The 21,913-nt window shown below is 34.3% G+C and overlaps 1 protein-coding gene across 8 annotated transcripts in view; it reads right to left on the bottom strand.

Annotated features, from left to right (window-relative positions):
* Positions 1-21,913, bottom strand: part of CCDC102B (coiled-coil domain containing 102B) — a 342,906-nt gene that overhangs the window by 232,060 nt on the left and 88,933 nt on the right. For 2 of the 8 annotated variants that reach the window (XM_047437804.1, XM_047437805.1), the window contains one exon: positions 2,646-2,696. The exons of 5 other annotated variants lie outside the window; for them this stretch is intronic. The gene's annotated coding sequence lies outside the window, so the exon portion shown is untranslated. Of the gene's footprint in view, positions 1-2,645; positions 2,697-21,913 lie in introns of those variants that run through there. One more of the 8 variants, XM_047437807.1, reaches the window with a different exon arrangement.

Raw genomic sequence — 21,913 nt, 5'->3', positions numbered from 1 at the left:
CATTTTAGTCGCTTGATATTTGGAAAATAAAAACAAACGAGAGAAATATTCTAGGTTTTCATTAGTATATATTAACCCTCTGAAGAGATGACAGTAACGGGAAATATAAATTGACATTAAATGGTGCCTTTAACAACTTAAAATTAGAAAATGAGAACACTGTACAGATTCATTTTCCTAAAGTGCTTTTCAAGAGCACATGACTACCTGTAAGTACAAAATACTTGGATTCTGCTACAAGCAGAATTACTGCATTTAATTCATTGCATGATTTTCCACTGAGGGGTATGCAAAGATGAACATGTTCATTTTTACCTCTTGAAGTTTTAATAACTTATTGAATGTTTATTTATTTATTTATTATCATTATTATTTTTTGAGTCTCACTCTGTTACTTAGGCTGGAGTAGAGTGGAGTGATCTCGGCTCACTGCAACTTCTGTCTCCCTGGTTCAAGTGATTCTCCTGCCTCAGCCTCATGAGTAGCTGGGGCTACAGGCACGCACCACCATGCCTGACTAATTTTTATATTTTTAGTAGAGATGAAGTTTTGCTATGTTGGCCATGCTGGTCTCCAACTCCTGGCTTCAAGTGAACTGCCCACCTCGGCCTCCCAAAGTGCGGGGATTACAGACCCCGCCTGGCCTAATTTACTGAAAAAATTTTTAAACTTAAAATCCAAATATTGTTTTACTTTGGAAAAATGGAACTGCCAACGTATTATTTAGCTTTTTCTTTCCCATTTTTTGAATGCCAAATACAATAGCATGAGAAAAGCTTTCTATTCAAATAGCACCTTAAGTTCAGTAGTGCTTACTCTGAACACATAAAGTGGCATTAAAATTTTTAAGCATGTCAGTTTCATCAGTTTCATTTACTATGAGAATAAATCATTTTAATGTCTCTCAATATATTTTGTAATATTTACCTTTATATAAGAGTAACTTCCGTAAATCAAATAACAGATAAACTGAACTATTTGGCATCTAACAATGAAACTTGTGGACAGCAAGAAAGAGAGAAAGATAAAAGAGAAAGAAAAAGAGACAGAGAATTTTCCTGAGTATTTCACATATATTAACCTATTTCCTTCTTACCAGAAACATAGAGGTACATATATATTTATCTCTCTATGCCTTTCCAGTTTTTATTTATGGAGTGCATGTGTGACTGTGTGATGACAGTGTGTATATGAAAGATAGACAAAGAAATTTTTCAGATCAGCAAAGATCTATTTTAATCATTGTTATTATTACACATTTTTTTAAAATTATAATTTCACAGAGACTTTGGCTTAACAGAAAACATTTCCAAAGACTTATAATATCATGTCAGTCTGGCTATTCTGTACTATTCAAATAACAACTTGTGCACATTTCAATATTTTTATTTTTCTGTCTATATTTTATCCAATGAAATGTATTTTAGGAATGTAATTGAAAATCACAGTTTTTAGCTGAAACCATTCCCCTTGAGAACTGGAACAAGACGAGGATGCCCACTCTCACCACTCCTGTTCAACATAGTACTCGAAATCCTGGCCAGAGCAATCAGGCAAGAGAAAGAAATAAAAGTCATCCAAACTGAAAAAGAAGTCAAACTATCTCTCTTCGCTAACAATATGATTCTATACTTAGAAAACCCTAAAGACTTTGCCAAAAGGCTCGGAATAGAAAACTCAGAAATACAACCACACACCTACAACCATCCGATCTGTGAAAAAGCCAACAAAAACAAGCAATGGGAAAAGGCCTCCTCGTGCAATACATGTTACTGGGATAACTGGCTAGCCATATGCAGAGAATGAAACTGGACCCTTGCTTTTTACTATACATAAACACTAACTCAAGATGGATTAAAGGTTTAAATGTAAGACCTCAAACTATAAAATTCCGAAAAGAAAACCTAGGAAATACCCTTCTTGACATCAGCCTTGGCAAATAATTTTCGGCTGAGTCTCCCAAAGCAATTGCAAAAGAAAAACCCTAAAAATGACAAGTGGGACCTAATTAAATTAAAGAGCTTTTGCACAGCAAAAGAACCTATCAACAGAGTAAATAGCCGGCAAAATGGGAAAAAATTATTCACAAACTACGCATCCAGCAAAGGTCTGATATCTAGAATGCTTAAGGAACTTAAATCAACAAGCAGAAAACAAATGACCCCATTAAAAAGTGGGCGAAGGACATGAACATACATTTCACAAAGAAGACACACAATAAGTCAACAAACATGTGAAAAGATGCTCATTATCACTAACCATCAGGGAAATACAAATCGAAACCACAATGAGATACCATCTCACACAAGTTAGAATGGCCATTATTAAAAAGTCCAAAAACGACAGATGCTGGTGAGGCTGCAGAGTTAAATGAATGCTTATACACTATTGCTGGGGGTGTAAATTAGTTCAGCCACCATGGAAAGCAATTCGGAGATTTGTTAAAGAACTTAAAACAGGGCTACCATTCAACACAGCAATCAATCCCATTACTGGGTATATACCCAAAGGAAAATAGATCATGAAGCCAAAAAGACACGTGCACTCATAGGCTCATCACTGCTTTTCACAATAGCAAAGACATGGAATCAACCTAGGTATCCATCAGTGGTGGATTGGATAAAGAAATGTGGTACATAAGTTACCTGATGGAAAGTCTTGACGGCAAGTTGTCCAGGTTCTTGGAATTCGGAATTCTAAGACGCACAAACAAAACAACAAAAGAACAAAGCAATGAAAGCACAGATTTACTGAAGCAAACATACACTCTACAGACAGGGAGCAGACTCGAGCAAGCGGCTCAAGAGCCCCGATTGCAATGCTCTTTGAAGTTTTTACTAAGCTAAAAGAATTTGGTAACACCTATATGTACCCTTTAGAGGCCTCCAATTGGTTACAACCTATGCGAATGAAGCATTGGCCCATGACTCATCAGAGGCTGAAGTGGAGGCTTGGCCCACAACCAATCAGAGGCTGAAATGGAGCCTGGTCCTGCAACCAATCAAAGGCTGAAATGAAGGCTTGGCCCCAGACCAATCAGAGGTACTTCCCATTTGTGCTACAGGGGAGTGTGGGGGCGGGAGGGGTTTGTAGAGGCAGGTGACTCTGGTTTCTTGTCACTTAGGCATAGAGAGGTGAGGTTTTCTTTTTGGTTCAATTCCAAGAAGTCAGCCTCAGGTTGGCCTTAGGCTCCAGACCCTATTCTCCTGCCTCACATATATATCATGAAATACTACACAGCCATAGAAAGAATGAAATATTGTCCTTTGCAACAACATGGATGGAGCCGGAGGCCATAATCCTAAGCTAATGAATGCAAGAACAGAAAACCAAATACCGCATGTTCTCACTTTAAAGTGGGAGCTAAACATTGAGTATGCATGGACATAAAAATGGAAACAATAGACATTGTGGAATACTGGGAGGAGGGGAGTTGAAAAACTACCTATTAGGTACTATACTCTCCTACCTGGGTGCAACATACCCATGTAACAAACCTGCACAGGTACCTTATGTATCTAAAAATAGGCGTTGTAAAAAACAAAAATAATAATAGTATTAAATAATCACAGTTTTTAAATGCCCAATTTCAAATTAAAACACCAAATTGACATGTTAAACATTTATTTGTTTCTACAAAATTTCAGGTGTTTTTTTTTTCTTTTTTTGAAATGGAGTCTCGCTATGTTGCCCAGGCTGGAGTGCAGTGGTGCAATCTCAGCTCACTGCAACCTACGCCTCCCAGGTTCAAGTGATTCTCCTGCTTCAGCATCCTGAGTACCTGGGACTACAGGCGTGCCCCACTGTGACCAGCTAATTTTTGTATTTTTAGTAGAGACAGGGTTTCACTATGTTAGCCAGGCTGATCTCAAACTCCTGACCTCGTGATCCACCTGCCTTGGGTTTCCAAAGTGCTAGGATTAAAGGAGTGAGCCACCATGCCCAGCCAATATTTCAGCTTTAAACAATGAAAAAACTCAATTCTCAGAAAACTACAGTAGTTTTCATAATTTTTAGAAAGTATTCCAATTTATAATTTTACAAGCTTCTAGAACAAAGTGATATTTGACCTAGCACATTTAGTAAATCCTTTATACTCATCATATCCCAAATAGAAGAATACAAATCTTGAAACTCTTTTGACATTGAAACTCTTGGCTCTTTCCTAAGGGAGTTTTGAAATTATTTTGGAATATTTTATTTTATTTTTCTCTACAATTATATTAAATGGTGTATATATAGTTTACTCAAAATGGTTATTAGATGTTTAAAATTGATAGAAACTTGTTTCAGTTACTAATTAACATCTACTGATTTTCTCCATAGAAAAAATACATATATGTGTATATACATACATATATATATACACACATATATTTATATATTTCAATTGGAAGGAAGAAGGAGAAGAAAAGAAGGAAAAGAAAGAACTTTGCAACATACTGGGTTTATTATTCTGCTGCCTGTATTTGGCATGTTTTGCAGTGCATGAGCTAACTTTCCAGATAGGACAAAACTCTGTATTTTTCATTAAAGGGAAGAATTTTGATTACTCAAAATTTGTTTTCTCTCTGTGGCATTTAAATATTGTATGTGAGTCTAATTAAAGAATTAGGAAAGAGATTGTATAGTGCATCCAAACAAGTTATTTTAAAATATTAATAAAGATATTATATTTATAAAATTAATTTTTAAAATTTTATAAAATATAGCATCCTGGAAAATACACATTATGTATTTTGCCAGAAAGTAGAAAATGATGAGAATAAATGACTGCACTAAATTGAAGACAAGCAGCAAGTATTTATTTTTAGGCATTGCTATTAAGGGCCCAGTGAGGCTAATTTATTTTTAGTGTTTTTTCTTTTCTGACTTAAGTATGTAGTATTTGTGCCAAATTTTTGTGTAGTGTGAAGGACATGAATTTGCTTTTGGATCACCAAACTCCAATACTTTGGGACATCCTCTACATAATATAGAAAATGAACCACACTGGGAAGCCACTTATCCTCATTTAGAACATTCTAACCACATGAATTAGATATAAGTTCAAACAAGAAAAAAGAAATGAGGCAGTCTATTTCTGACTCTTAGCTTCCTAAGGAAGACTTCATAATCATGTCATAGGTTAGGTGTCCCTGCTGTAATCTCTGAGCACTGGTACCCATACTTCATAAATTTTTAGTACAGTTTGGTCCATGCTTTTAAATTATTTGATTACTCTATCTTCCACAACAGCTATGCTGTGAGCTCAATGTGGATAAGATCCATGCTTGTTTCTGCTCACCATTCCATCTGCAGGGCTAGCACAATGTCTGTTAGAGTGGACATTAAGTAAATATTTATTGTATGAACGAAAGAATAAATGAATGAATGAAAGATATTTAAAAGAAAATAATCTAGCAAAGATTATTTATGAAGAATTCAAAAAGAAGAAATTTTCTTAACAGGAAGAGATGATATCAATTTTCACAAACTTTTCCAGATAAGGAAAAAAGAGTTAACACATGCCAACTCATTTTATGAGGTCAATAAAACCCTGATAACAAGACCTTACCAGGACTTAATGGCAAATCTCTCAAGCTGACATAAACGCCCTAATAGAAATGTTAGCAAGAGAAATTTGGTGTTTAAAACAATTAATATATCACGAAGTTGAATATGCTCCAGAAATATAATTTTGGTTTAGCATTTGATTATCAATCATTGTGATTGACTTAATAAACCATGTTAACAAAATAAAGTGGAAACACCCCAATACATGAATAAAATGCATTTGGTAAAATTCAACACCAGTTTACAATTTGAAAAACTAACCAGCTAAAAATAGAAGGGAAAGTAGTGATATGATAACAGTTTTCTGCAGAAAACCTAAAGCGATCCCCTTTAATTTTGAATTATTGATAGCTTTACCCCCGAAAATAGTATGAAAAGGATGTGCCTCCTAATGCCACTACTGTTCGGTATTATACAAAAGGAGAAGTCTAGCCATTAGTGTGATGAGGAAAGGAAATTAAATAGAAGTGAAAATAAATAAAACTCTCATTTTGTACATATGATTGTGTAAGTAGAAATTCAAAATAATTCACAAACTATTAAAACTAGTAAGTGATTTTTAGTAAAGTTACTGATCTAAAGTCAATATACACAATTATGTGTATTTCTACATTTTAGAAACCAATATTTAGACATCAAATATCAAATTGTAATAATTAATACAATTCTATTTTAGCATTATATGCATTAGGTAGCTAGGGATGTACCAGAAGATAGGTAAGCTTACATCCTATAAACTACAATACACTCGTAAGAGAAACTAAAGAATATCTAAATAAGTGAAGGAATATATTATGTCTGTTTGTGGACTAGAAAGCTCAAAATTGTGAGGATGACATTTATGCATAAATCAACCTATGTATTCAATAATTCCAGTCAAAATCTCACAAATTTTATTTTGTTAAAATTGATAAGTTGATACTAACACCCATTTGAAAATAGAAAAAGTCAAAGAAAGCCAAACTTTTTTTAAAAAAAGAACAAATTTACAGAATTATATTATTGGATATGAATATGATATAAAGCTACAGTAATTAAGACAATGACTCATTAGCTCAAAGAGAGACAAATAGACAAATGAAAGAGAATTAAGAGTCCGAACATGGATCTACATCTCTGGGGACCTAATTTATGACACTTCAGTATGTGAAATTATTTTTCCCTTTTTCAACAAAAGGAACTAGGTCAATCATGTCCATATGGAACTAACAGCTACATCACAGCTTTTAAAACAGTCAGTTCCCAATAGAATGCTCACTAAAAGTGTAAAACAAAACTATAAACCTCCTAGAAGTCATCTAAGAAAAATCATTCATGATATTGCAGTTAAGATTTTTCTAAACAGGATATCAAGCATTAACCGTAAAGTAAAAATATTTATAAAAAGTATTTTATTAAACCTATGAATTTCTGTTCATGAGAAGAAAGACATTGTCAACAGAATGAAAAGGCAAATAATAGCGTGAAGAATGCATTAAGCGTGCATATATCCACTGAGGATTCATAAAGTCACAAACTGACAAGAAAAAGTTAACCACATGATTTTTCAATAACATGCTAAAAACTTGAAGATGTACTTCATGAAAGACAATATGCACACCGGCAATAATCACATGGATAGTTCTTACATTATATGTTACTAAGGAAGTGCAAATTAAAACTGCAATGGAAACCAACATCCCTTAAGAATTGTCATAGCAACATTATTCCTAATTGCTCAAAATTGAATGTATCTTTGTCTATAAACTAAAAATGGATGCAAAAATTTTACCATAGTTACTGTGTAACAACAAAAACAGATGAACTATTGCTACAGTTGGAGGAATCTCACAAACAAAATTCGAAGTAAAAGAAGCTGGCACAAAATAATACATACTGCATAATCCCAATTATAATAAGTTCAAAAAGAGGAAAAGCTACTCACGACAACTCAGAATAGTGTTTACCCTTAGTTGGAGTGGTAATGACAGGAGGAAGGCATGAAGAAGGCTTCTAGAATGCCAACAATATTCTATTACTTGATCTGGGTATTGGCTACATGGGTGTATTCTTTTTCAAAGTTCGTTGAGCTGCATATGTTTAAATTTATTAACTTTACATAAAGCCATCAACGTTGAACATTTAACTAATCAGAAAGCAGCCAATTGCTAAGTACTGTCTTTACAAATACTATGTCTTTCCAAATTTCTAGCTTTCAATTAGCTTCCAGATTAAGCAGGAGAATAGACACGATAAACAGAATACTATCACAACATAGTAACGTGTTCTCCCATTGAAGTACAGACCACAGGGACAGCACAGGGCCTGAAATTCACAGTTCTCAGCAAGTTGTAGCTCAGTCAGCTAGCTACACTGGAAAGGAGACATTTTCCTCCAAAAGAAAATACTTTGCACAAACTCAATGAGTCTCAATACGTTGTTGTAAAATAATGTAGTTTAATATGGAGATTTTGAATGGACTTAAAATACAAAATAGTAATGAAATGTGTATATATAACATATATAATGAAAATTTTAGCTTTTCTTCTACATGTATCTTTACTATAAGGAATATATCACAAAATTCTAGTTGATTCATGCTTTAGTTATCCTACCACCCAAATTAAATTATCCAGATATTTCCTTGTCTTATGAAGTTAATACTCATCAAAACAATTATGTTCAGATAAGGAGAATTTCATTATCAAATATTCCTTCTCTTAATGGAAATGAGACATGAGTCTCAGCAGATGATGTGGAAAGCCTTTAGCAAGTCTCATGACCGAGTAATCAATTTTCCTATGTTTACCCCTACACACCCACACACATGACTAAGAACATTTGCTTAACAACATCTTCATTCACAGTTATCTTTCTCGCGTTTATAAAAATGTTCAATCTAAATAGATAACCAACAAGATTGTCTGGGCCTGCTTCAAAATAATGAGCAATAACACAAAGATAATTGAACTTGCAGAAAAAGCCTAACCACTTCCTTCATCTTCTTTGAATATATTTCCATTTGCAAAGAGTTGAGACACAGAAAAACAGAACCAAGATAATTATTTTGCTGTTTAAATGTTAAAATGGAAAATGCAAAAAATGATGGCATATTTTGGAAGAAGGCTAAATTCAAATGTTGAGTTCCTTTTGTTCATTATGTTTATGAAAGCCAAATTTACTTTTAAATTTTGAACACTCTTTGGCAACCTAAAAATCTTTCCTCAGACTCCCAAGTGTCCCACTGAGTTCTGTTGTATGAAATCTAGAAAACAAACCTGCATTCAAATGTATTTTATGCTTTCAGATAACACGTACTATTAACAAGTCTAAAGAATTCTCAGGCATATGTAATGTGAATCAAGTGTTTTATAAAAGTCATCAAGAATTGAAATAAAATATAAAAATGCATGCAACATTTTATAACGATGGATTTTCCTACTAGTAAGAAAAACATAAATGGAAAATAGCATAATTTTTGGTCTGACCAACTTGGGACTCCTGTGGCTTGAACACAACTCACTGTTTTCTTTCTCTCACAATGCAGAACAATGGAGCAGACAAGAATATGTTGTGTGAATCATAGCATAAGTTAGCTTGAATACAAAAACATTTTATTTTCTGTTGTACACTAAGGCAGACCAACTGATCATTACCCTATTTAATGCTGCTTTTAGACATTATTACTGATCTTAAAATAGTCAATAGCTCTTTAAGAGAAATTTTCTGCAAGACTTTTTGTTCCCTTAGAAAGGGAAAAGGAGGCTGGGTGCAGTGCCTCAAGCCTGTAATCCCAACACTTTGAGACGCCGAGGCGGGCGGATCACGATGTCAGGTTATCGAGACCATCCTGGCTAACATGGTGAAACCCCGTCTGTACTAAAAATAGAAAAATTAGCCAGGCATGGTGGCGGGCGCCTGTAGTCCCAGCTACTCAGGAGGCTGAGGCAGGAGAATGGCGTGAATCCGAGAGGCGGAGCTTGCAGTGAGCCCAGATCGTGCCTTTGCACTCCAGCCTGGGCTACAGAGCGAGACTCCGTCTCAAAAAAAAAAAAAAAAAAAAAAAAGAAAGGAAATAGGAAGAAGACTATAGTGAAAAGTGACTTGATTTAACTTTTGAACAGGTGTGAGATCTTGGAGAAGTTTACTTTTCCCAGACTCAGTTTAAACCATAAAACTGGAGTGATTTTACCTACAGTTTATTGTTAGAATATATGCTACAATATGCACACCCAGATACCCCAGGCACAATGTAGACATTCAATACATAATCATTCTTACTACTTGAAATTCTCTTTCTGTACATGATGGATTTGTGGCTGAAGTTAAAATACAGAGTCTAAAACCAATGTTCACACATTCCTGATTACTAGTACCAAATCTTCAGTGAAGGTAGAGGGTATTATCACAAGAATCAATTCTTTTAACAATTTATTCCATTTTCTACTTCTCCTTTGGACAATAAAAAGTCTGCTACAATGAAATCAGGCGTGGAATTAATAAAATTTGGAAAGCAAAACACTTAAAGATAAAACGAAGAATGAGATATGGGAGTGTGAAAAATCCTTTTTCCAAATTATCTAAAGCTATGGGAAAAATGAATTGATATATTGAAATAAAACTCAAACTGATTTTTCCTTGTTTGCTCTCCAAATGGAATGCACATTTTACAGAGCCCTAGTCTTGTCATCAACTCTTAGCTTACAGTTACAGTACATGAACTACATGATCCAGATTTTTAAAAAAATACATACATCTTATATCTATAAAAAGATGAAAAAAAGAAGTTTGTGCAAAACTATTTGAAAACCAGAGTTCAGTGTGTGTGTGTGTGTGTGTGTGTGTGTGTATGTAAATGGAGGTGAAGGGTGGCTGGAATGACAGAAATGATGAATCTATACCATATTTCCTGGTCAGTTTGTTCCATTTTCATCTGTGTTCCCATGCTCTGGTTAATCACTTTATTCTGTATCTACGGCATTGAATAATAATTTTAATACATGTGTTTCCATGCCAGTCTATAAGCTTCTTAGCAAAGAACTTGTATCTTATTTATCCTTGTCTTCACAGTGACTAGGACATGGAAGACATTCAAAAAATGAATCTAGAGAGAACTAATTCTATAATTCAATTAAAATGCAGTTTACCATTGCCCCAATGCATATACCTGCAGTTTATCTGTGTCCATTGGGCCATAACAAGTGATGTTATTCCATCCATTTGAAATACACAGATTTGTTGGAGATGAAAATATATTTGTTGCCTCCGTGTTTGTATGTGTGTAAATCAAAGAAATTAAGGAAAAAGTAAGAGAATGATTTGAAAGTGATCAGTTACTTGTAAGACTTTAGAACTGTGATCAAAGAAAATTTACCTTTTAATGACTTAAAACCTCAGAACAAGCAAATAAAAAATCATGTTTATTATTGTATGATTATAGAAACTTACATGAAATATATAAAATATCCTGCTTTAACAAATAATAGTAAAGAACTCCTTATGTTACAAGGCAAGACAATCTGCAGTCTGTTAATATTCTGTTGAAAATAATTTTTACTGGCAAATACTAGTGGATCAAAAACTTTAGCAGTGATATAGGTGTGTATCAGAAGAAGAAATCTATTCTAATATTTCTGGATTATTAGTTTTCCTTAGAAAAGTTTGTGTTTGGCCTTTAAATATAAACATATTGGAGATTTTTTTTCTTTTCAGCTTGTTTTCATTGCAAATGAAATATTTTGGGAAACACGCTCGTTGCTATTATTTGTACTTAAAACACTTCTGGGACTATTTATATTTTTCAAAACCCAGGTATTCTTATCGATATTATTTCTAAACATTAAGAAAACAGTTCTGTAATATGATATTCACCTTATCATTTATTGCTCTGTCTTTAGAAATGTTTAGTAAATCAAAAGAAAGGTTTAAATAGAGAAAATTGCTATATTTTAATCTTTAATTTTCCTTTGAAAATAATATGACTATACATGATAGATTTTAGTTAATGCCTGAATGTAACTGACCATTGAATGAAGAACTAACCTACATTTCTGGTCCAAAGTCCTATAATAATGTTTCTATGAAGGAAGAAGTGTTAATTACCCAACTCTATTCATATTGTTTCTTGATGAAACCAGTTTATTTCTATTTCAGTGGCTGATTCATTGACAGAGATGCTCTAAATTGAATAAATATTTCTGGCTAACAGTGCTCAAAGCCTGTAATTAAGAAAAAAAGCCTAGAAAAAAAGTGATTAATTGCAAAACAATAATTTGCACAGCTAGAAAATTCCTCCATGTCAAAAAAAGATTGAAAAAATGTTTTCCTCCTTTTCCTAGAAATTGGAGTAAAGAAAATACTCATTCTGTTTTCTTAAAGCAAAACATAAATTTTGCTGCTTTAAGGAGTTTAGAGAAAGCCTTTTATACTTCTCACTCTACAGAAAATTAATTCCATTTTTTCTCATTTTTTCCTACTAATAAAAGGCACCACTATCCTTTCAGTTGGTGTAAGCCAAAGATTTAGGCTTCTCTTACTAACCATTCTTCATCATCTTCTATATCAAGTCAATTGTAAAGTCTTGCTCATTTTAACTTATAAAAATTTTTATTTACATTCATGTTTCTCTGTCTCATCCACTTTAGTCCAAATACTATCACATCGTTCTCAGATAACTGAAATAGATTTCCAACTTCTCTCCCTTTCAAAAGTGTTCTACACTCAAAAACTAAAGATATATATATATATATATAAAATTATATTTTAATATGACTTCATCTTTGCTGCAATGTTCCCAATTGCTCTTCCATTAATTCTTAGGATTAGGTTCAAAGTCCTTTTCACAGATAACCAAGTCTTACCTCCTGGTCTCCCCTCGCCTGGGCTCCACTCTCCCGGCCTCCTTTATCCTCTTCTCTGCTGGCCTTCCCTCCCTTCTTCTCCCCTAACTAACCTACATTTCTGGTCCAAAGTCCTATAAAAATGTTTCTATGAAGGAACAAGTGGCCTCCTCTCCTCTCCTCTTTCCTGGCCTCCCCTTCCCTTCCTCTTCATCCTCTAACTCCTCCTTCTCTTGCCTCCCATCCCTTCCTCTACCCTTCTCTCCTCTCCCCTATCATTCTATCGTCTCATCTCTCTGGCCTCCTGTATTAGTTGGTTCTCGTGCTGCTATAAAGAACTACCTGAGACTGGGTAACTTATGAAGAAAATAGGTTTAATTAACTCACATTTCCACATGACTGGGGAGGCCTCAGGAAGCGTACAATCATGGCAGAAGGCAAAGGGAATGTAAGCCCATCTTATTATGGCGAAACAGGAGAGAGACAGAGAGAGAGAGAGAGAGAGAAGTGGGAAATGCCATACATTTATCAAACAAGCAGATCACTTGAGAACTCTACACTCTATCACAAGAACAGCAAGGGGGAAGTCCATTCTCATGATTCAATCATCTCCCACCAGACCACTCCCCCAACACATGGGGATTACAATTCAATAAGAGATTTGGATGGGGACACAGAGCCAAACCATATCACCTCCCTTCCCCTTCTCTCCCCGACCTCCTCTTTTCTGACCTCAGCTTCCCTTCTCTCCTCTCATCTTCTCTCCATCTCCAGGTTTCCTCTGCCTGGATACCTGGATATCCCCCTTCTCAGGCTAGCTGGGCTTTTTGCCTTGGATTACCAAAATTATTCAACTTCCCTAGGATGTCAGTACTCAATTCCTGTATGTTAATTCTTCAGAAGGAATGTTTCTTCCAACAGCAACAACAACAAAAATGTAGAAGCACCAGCTTGAACTAAAATATGTATATTCACATTTTTAACATAGGAAATGCTTAATACTAACTAGGGTCATGATTTGTTTCACTGCCTCGTTGTATTTTGCCTCCTCTTGATATATTGAAATATATCAACCTACCCAATTAATATTCAACATCTGAAAGACACATCTTCTGCTACGGGGTATTTAGCCCCTCTAAACTATAGAGACGCTATTCAGATCTGCTATGTTGTTCTTTAAAATGCTTTTCTATTACTTAAAGTGAACCACGACATGAAAGTTGTTTTCTATTGCTTTATAATGACCATAATCCAGTAATCATATATAGCCACATTTTCTAAATGATTACCATGGTCCAGGAATTAAAAGGAAAATTTCTTCTGAAGTAGAGTCTTTAGTTGAGAATTAAGTTTCATCACAAAGTACATCTTAAAATTTTATCACTTTTTATAAAGTAGAATGAAAGCTATTGGATACTTTAACATAATGTGAATTTTGAATATATTTTTATATAAAATAATATAAATATATTTTCCTGTTGAAATGGTTAATCCTCCTAAGGGAAATATGAAAATCTGCTTTTGTTTTCTGTAAACCCAACCATGATATATAGCTTTAGCAAGGTTTTTATTTCAACAATAGAACGTTTAACAAGAAAAGATTAGGCACTGATTTGTAATGGTAAAAATCTAACACTGTTAAGTATATTAGTTCTTACACAGTTTTATTTCAATCAGCAGTGGTAGGAGAATCTTATACTTTTTTTCCAGATTGATAATTTAAAAGGTACCACATTCAGTGACTGAGTTATTTTCCCCTTTAAGTGAACATTCTCAGCATATTAAATCCTACCTCAGCCCAATATTTGTCTCTTCTGGCTTCAGACATTACCTTCCAGGTCCAGTTTTTCTCCCTACCTCTGAGAGTCGACCTGCAGTCCTCTGTGCTTCACGTGACCTCAGGATCCTCACCTGTCATTCCTGCCATCTCACCATGCTCCCCTTCCAGAAAGCCTTCTTCCTTTCAATCTCTTCATTACTTTGCCTATCTTGTTGAAAACTCCCTCTTTCTTAAAGACCCTTCTGCCTGCCTAAATTGTTGACTTTCTTATGTTTTTTGTTTGTTTGTTTTTGAGATGAAATTTCACTCTTGTTGCCCAGGCTGGAGTGCAGTGACAAGAACTTGGCTCACTGCAACCTCTGCCTCCCAGGTTCAAGTGATTCTCCTGCCTCAGCCTTCTGAATAGCTGGAATTACAGGTGCACGCCACCACACCCAGCTAATTTTTGTATTCTTAGTAGAGATGGGGTTTTGCCATGTTGGCCAGGCTGGTCTCAAACCCCTGATCCCAGGTGATCTGCCCACCTCACGAAGTGCTGAGATTACAGGCGTGACCCACCAAGCCCAGCCTCTTATGTGTTTGTCAACATAGAAAAGAAACTGTTTCTTTCAAAGTTTCCATGAAGGCTGTATATTGTTTTATACCTAAAGGATGTAGAACCAGAAATACCATTTGACCCAGCAATCTCATTACTGCGTATATACCCAAAGGATTATAAATCATTCTACTATAAAGACACATGCACACGTATGTTTACTGCAGCACTATTCACAATAGCAAAGACTTGGAAGCAAACCAAATGCCCATCAATGGTAGACTGGATAAAGAAAATGTGGCACATATACACCATGGAATACTATGCAGCCATAAAAAAGGTTGAGTTCATGTCCTTTACAGTGACAAGGATGAAGCTGGAAACCATCATTCTCAGCAAACTAACACAGGAACAGAAAACCAAACACTGCATGTTCTCACTCATAAGTGGGAGCTGAACAATGAGAAAACATGGACATAGGGAGGGGCACATCACACACTCACACACTGGGGCCTGTTGGGTGGTGGGGAGCAAGGGGAGGGATAGCATTAGGATAAATACCTAATGTAGAAGATGCATTGATGGGTGCAGCAAACCACCATGGCACGTGTATACCTATGTAACAAACCTGCACGTTCTGCCATGTATCCTAGAACTTAAAGCATAAAAAAAAAAAAAAAAAAAAAAAAAAACAAAGAAAAGAAAAGAAAATTTTTCAAAACCGTCTCTCTAAAAATCATGATCCTAGAGAACCCAACCTGTCTGGAAAAAAAGCACTAAGTTTACAATTACCCAAGAGTCACCAGCATTCGGGAATCATTCAAAAGTGATGGAGAATAAGATATGCTAATAATAGAGATATTATTTCCTGGATTAAGGCACATAGGGAGAAAATTTTTCCTGAATATTTTTCTAATGATATTGTAAACTAATACATTGGGTTATTGTTGTATTTCCATTTTAATCAGATATAAATCATATGTGCAATATCTGCAATGTCTGAACAGGGCTTACCACCTGCTGAGTGTGTATATGCAAATGACTGTACATTATATGAAGTTTTTCAGTGAGATTTACAAATTACTTGTTTGGTTAAAAAAAAGACTAAAGACTAAAATCTATCTGAAAATTGAATTTGTGTAAGACAGCTGCTTACTACCTCTTTCCAAATTTTTTGGTGTTATTAGATTTTGTTTGCTGTAGTTTTTAAAACAGCATCTGTTGTACATATGCACTCTATTTAAAGATTAACACTTTCAAATCTATCTCTAAATATTAATTTGACTAAAAAATCTTTATACAAATTAAATTACACATAATGAAAAACAAGAAGTGGTAAAATAATGTTAAGATTTTTAAAGTATACTATTTTCATTTGTCTTTACTTCTATTGTTATCCAATTTTGAGTTTTAAAAACATTTCAGTAACTCACGTGAAACAAAAGCAAAGCAAGAGACAAACAAATGAGAAAATGCAGGTAAAGCAATGTATTTTAATGACCATTTTACTATAAACATTCACACATGTATATAATGATATCTACTCATTCCTCAAAGTTGTTAAAGCAGAATAAGAATAAACATTTCTTAGCTTTTGAATCTTGAATTTATTCATTCGACAAATATTTATCAAATTTCTACCATGTTCCAGCCGTGAAATTCTAGGCATTGAAGATGTACCAGTGAATCAATAAATGTAAATGTCCACTCTCATGGAGCTTACCTTTGATTATATGTAAAATCTGACTCATGGAAATGAGTATGTATTTATTTTAAAAATTATGTAGCTATTAAATGGAAAGTTTTCAAAAATTCATTTGTTACAAGTTATTTAGATGTTAACATTTTTAATAGAACAAAAATTGAGTTAAATGATTAAAAACAAATTGCTCTGAACATTATAATTTTCATTAGGTTTTTATGTACATCGAAAACTGGAAAAAACAGAATTCCATAATCTATAACACCAACTATAACACAAACTTAAACTGTGTTTTTAGAGTTTCTCTAATGTTCCTGAATTATCTCTCAAATATAAATATTTATATGGTAAATTCTTCTTCCTTTATGGAAAATGAGGGAATTCTAGGCTGAGAGTAAACTTTACTTTCTAAAATTTCTCAAAATATTTGAGACAGGAAAGCCAGCTGCTTTCACCCACCCATGGTAACATGTTCAAAGCACAATATTGTAGAAGCTCAATTACGTTTATGAATGCTCCAAATTACCGCAGGCTGGATTTAGTCCTTGAATGATATGCTTTTATTAATGTAATTGAAGAGGATGTTGAGAAAACAAAATTATTAGTGAACATGAAACTTCCCAAGTTTCATAATTATGTTTTTTCTTAAAACACATGATTAATCTATTTTGAAATCACAAGGCTACTTACTTCTGAATAGAAATAGCATAAATTTCAGAACATATACTTCTTATGACATAAATTTTTAAAAATAAAACCATGTAAAATTCATCTTGTATCTAAATAAAACAATATTTGTTAGTATATTGTACTATAAAGGCATTAAACCAATCATTTTCTATTGCCAAAGAGCTTCATAATCTTCAGAAAAACGAAAATAAAAATGTGTAGTAAGCCGGGCGCTGTGGCTCACGCCTGTAATCCCGGCACTTTGGGAGGCCAAGGTGGGCGGATCAAGAGGTCAGGAGATCGAGACCATCCTGGCTAATACGGTGAAACCCTGTCTCTACTAAAAATACAAAAAAATTATCCGGGCGTGGTGGCGGGCGCCTGTAGTCCCAGCTACTCGGGAGGCTGAGGCAGGAGAATGGCGTGAACCCAGGAGGCAGAGCTTGCAGTGAGCGGAGATAGCGCCACTGCAGTCCGGCCTGGCCGAAAGAGCGAGACTCTGTCTCACAAAAAAAAAAAAAAAAAAAAAAAAAGTAGTAAAAGCAATGAAATAACAATGGAATGATTCAAAAACCAAATGTTATTTTATTATGCAACAAAGAGAAATATTAATACATGCAAGTATATCACCAAAAATTTTAGGAACAGCAGCTAGTAATATATTGACAAAATGCTGACTTCTTTGTCCTGGCCACTGTAATCTGATTTGTAGAATTATTATATTTATATGAACTCTTCTAAGATAAAAATAATATCCATCACATGTTTTGTTCTAATTCTTTCCATCTTAATATAATATAAAACAAGTAATCCAATTTTAGATATGTTACTTGAAAAACAAAATAGAATGGTTGTGCAATATGTAAGCTACTTCTTATAATAGTGAGATCCAAAATGTTGATTTCACTGGGAAAGTTACATCTATAATATGAAACTTATAGATGAGTTTGTAATCTTGAGAAGGAAAAGACGTGGAATCTTAAGAAAAAAAAGTTAGCTTTTGATTCGAAGATTAGTTGCTCAAATCCTAGTGAAACGTTCATCCCTGCTCATATTTTCTCCATGTTAGCCAAAATAAATTAGTAATTTATTCAGACATAGAGGCCACCAACTCTGCAATCATCTTTTTTTTTAAGTGTTTATATTTCTGGTTTTCATCCTTTGACATAGGAGAAGGTAGCAATAAAGAAAATAAAAAATTTAACTAGAAAGTAGAATCCTTAACACAACTGCTGATTGATCTGGGATCCGTTTTCATTTGTTTCCTTTCATTTTTGCATAGTTGTTTGTCTTAGTAAAGACAAGTAAAGGAATTGGATTAAAAATGTCAAAATAACAGGAAGTGAATACTCAGTGTTTGTATTTCTCAAAAGATCTGTCTTTCCAGTCCCTAAAACAGAAAATGGACGCCATGTGCAAGGAAAGCTGCAAAGAGTGGAAGACCAGATTAAACTCTTACATTTCTCAAAGCTTGCTTGGTTTTTATTTTGCCTCCCAATCATGTAATTATTGTCTTCAACTCTTTCCCAAGTAATTCCTGTAACGTCATATCTTAATTCTTCCTCAAAAACTCTATTTTTTCCTTGTTTTTCTTAAATATCTCATGATTTCCCAGATCTATACATTGCATTTAATTTATAAAAAAAGAGAAAAAGTACTAAGAATTGTGTGGACTCCTAAATTGAGTTTTATCATTTTTATCATTGCCTGATTTTCACACCTGTTAAATTTTCTTAAATTAGTAAATTTTCTTAAATTATAGCAAGCAGAGAATATATTGGTCCCAGTTGTTTCTAGAGGCCACCATCTTTAACATACTTCTCAGTATCAAAATAACATAAGTATGTAAATATGATAACATGAGAGCTATAGTAGAACCCAGAGAACACTGGTTCAGAAAATGTGAGGTAAATTCTCTTCCTTGATAAGGTCGTTCAAACTCATATGTGTTCCCCCTTTCAACAAGGAGATAAATACAATGCCTGAAATGTATTCTATGGTTGCTATGAAGATATTTTTGAACCGTTTATATTCTGGAGTATTAAACCTGTGCTGTCTTAAATGGTAGTCACCTATCAGATGTAGTTAGGGAACGCTTGAAATGAGGGTCGCCTGAATTGTGATGTTCGGTGAGTACTAATTAAACACAGCATGAAACGTAAAAATGTAAACTATCTCATTAATAACTTCATACTAATTACATTTTGAAGTGATATTTTTGAAAGATTGGATTAAATCAAAAATATTATTAAAATTAATTTCACATGTTCATTTTTTAACTTTTTAAATGTAGCTACTTTAAATTGCAAATGTTGCTTGAATTATATTTCTATTGGACAAAATAGCTGTAGAGCATCCAATAGACTTTAAGAGCTTCTCTTTTTCCACAGAGAATTTTACAGAAATAGAAAACTGCATTCTGATTTTTTTCAAACATGTTCAGAATGTTTTGGCAATATTGCTGTCTCTAACACCTAGAGGTTTCCTAAATACAGGAAATTAAGATAATTACTAATAATATTACTTGCAAATATATGCTTGAAAAACATATTCTACTGATAATAAAAATGCATACCAAAGTAGCCTGCTATTCAAAGGTAAGTGAATGTGACATTCTCATTCTCTTCCACATGGCCACATAATACAGAAGAGGTGATGTTGCAATAATCATACAAAAATAAAATGAATATCATTTTAAAAATTGGATATGTTTGCTGAGCATTCTTATCTAAGCTTTGAGACATCCCATTAAAATATATTTAAAGCTGTTTAGACAACATGGGAAAAAATAATTATTAATTTTAAAAATGTATGTCATTGTTAAAACAGCAGTTGTAAATAAAAACCTAAAAATAATATTAATTCATGTGTTCTTAACATTATTAATACATATAATTTTATTTTTATCCAAAATTTTGGCAAAATGATAAACACATAAAAAAATTATGGGCTTGTAATCTGCTGTATTTGAAGGCTTCTTTGTCTTGCTTTGATCACTGGCTGAAGATTGCTCTTTAATACAGTCTGTAGGACTGATCAAAATGTTACATAAGCAGAGAGAAAAGTAAATGAGATCACTGACAACACTGTAGAGTCTTGGCATGGGAATGGGTATTAACATTTATATAATGAAACCAATTATGTTAATAGGTTAGGAGAAGTTGAATATGTTTTCAGGGACAAGAAAAATTTTCATGTCCAAAGTATTTCATATATAGTGTCGTTACAACATCCTCACCTCTCAGTTCCTATTAATTCCAATAATATGACCTCACCCACTCACTGGCTGGTTATGCACCTAGATCCCATTACCATACTAGCATTTCTTTCCATATCAATGATAAGCACCTCTCTGATTACCCTTTACTATTGTCCCCATAACTCTCTTTTTTGACCTAGCTATGGCCTCCTGTCAATGGACTGTATTGTTTTTTCTCTCTTCCTCATCGGCTTCACATCCACTCTCTCCTCCCTATTCTGTGCTCCAGTTTTAACAAATTGCTCTGAGCAAGCTTGGCATTCTCTTGACCCTACTTGCTTAGAAACTCTAATGTCAGTGAATCACAGCTGTCTTCCTGCTCCATGTCTGCACCTACACTCTTGATCAGGCTTTGAGAAAACACACCCATTGCTATCTGGTCTCACTTCAGTTTCTTGACTCTGAACCTCATATGGGCTTTAATGTAGCCAAGCCAACTCTACCATAGGGAAATTAATATTTTTCCCTGATTAAATCACAAACATTCTACTGAATAATCCCATACATTAGCTATCTTCAAAATTTTCATATCTTATTCAGCTCTGCCTTATCTGTTGAGATTGCGGGGGTTTTTCTATTTCACTTACAAAAGATATGTAATTATAAGACAACTGCCATCCACTGGTTCCATCATATCTATGTGTCTAATGGATACCCATATGTTATTCTGTCTGTTTTTATAGAGAATTACTCCACGTTCTTAACACCAAACTTCCCATTTGTATGCTCTATCTAATTTCCTCTAATCCGCTCCAGGACATGGCCTCCTCAAATATACTCCTCTCCTGTTTAACTAGTTTGTACCTCTCTCTAGATTAGATTATTCCCATTAGCAAATGCACATGCTATAATACCCTCAACATAAAAAAAAAAAAAAAGATTTTGATCCCAACCCAGCAGCCATTCCATATCTTTGGCATTTTCTAAAATAAAAATTATTTTAAAGACACTTTCATTTATCTCATTTTCTCTTGAAGTCGCAGTATCATTTTCAACTCTAGTTTGCCACAAAAACAGGAAATCAGTGACTTCTACATTGCAAATCTAATGGTCAATTCCAGGCCTGAAATTCCTGTTTTACTTGGCCAACCAGAAGCCCTGTATGTGATTGTCCATTTCATCATTCCCTTTCTTGGCTTCTGAGGGCATCCTCTCTCATGGTTCTCCTCCTACTCCCTGGTAGCTGCCCCACATTCTGTCTCAGCTTCACACCTCTGACTGCAAGCGCTCCAACACTGAGACTTCAGGCTGGGGTAATTGCTCTGGGTGAAGGCATCCAGGCCTTTGACTTCAAATTCATTAATTTTCTGAAATTTCCTAACAGACATATCTCTGGCCTGAGATGTTCCTTTATCTCTGGGATCTCACGTGTCCAGCTGCCCACTTAACATCACTAAGGATATCTAATCAGCATCTCAGATTTCACATGTTCAAAAACAAACACTTGAACTCCCCTCACATCTACACCTGCTCCTCCACAGTGTTCCCTGTGTCAATAAATGCACATTTCACTCTTCTAGGTTTACAGACCAAACTTAGGGGTTACCCTTGATTCCTTTGTCTCTTCATTGCACATCATTGTTGGAAACTCCAT

This window comes from Homo sapiens, chromosome 18 (genome assembly GCF_000001405.40).
Source record: "Homo sapiens chromosome 18, GRCh38.p14 Primary Assembly".
In the NCBI taxonomy this organism is placed as follows: domain Eukaryota; kingdom Metazoa; phylum Chordata; class Mammalia; order Primates; family Hominidae; genus Homo; species Homo sapiens.
This window is presented reverse-complemented; position numbering and strand designations above follow the sequence as displayed.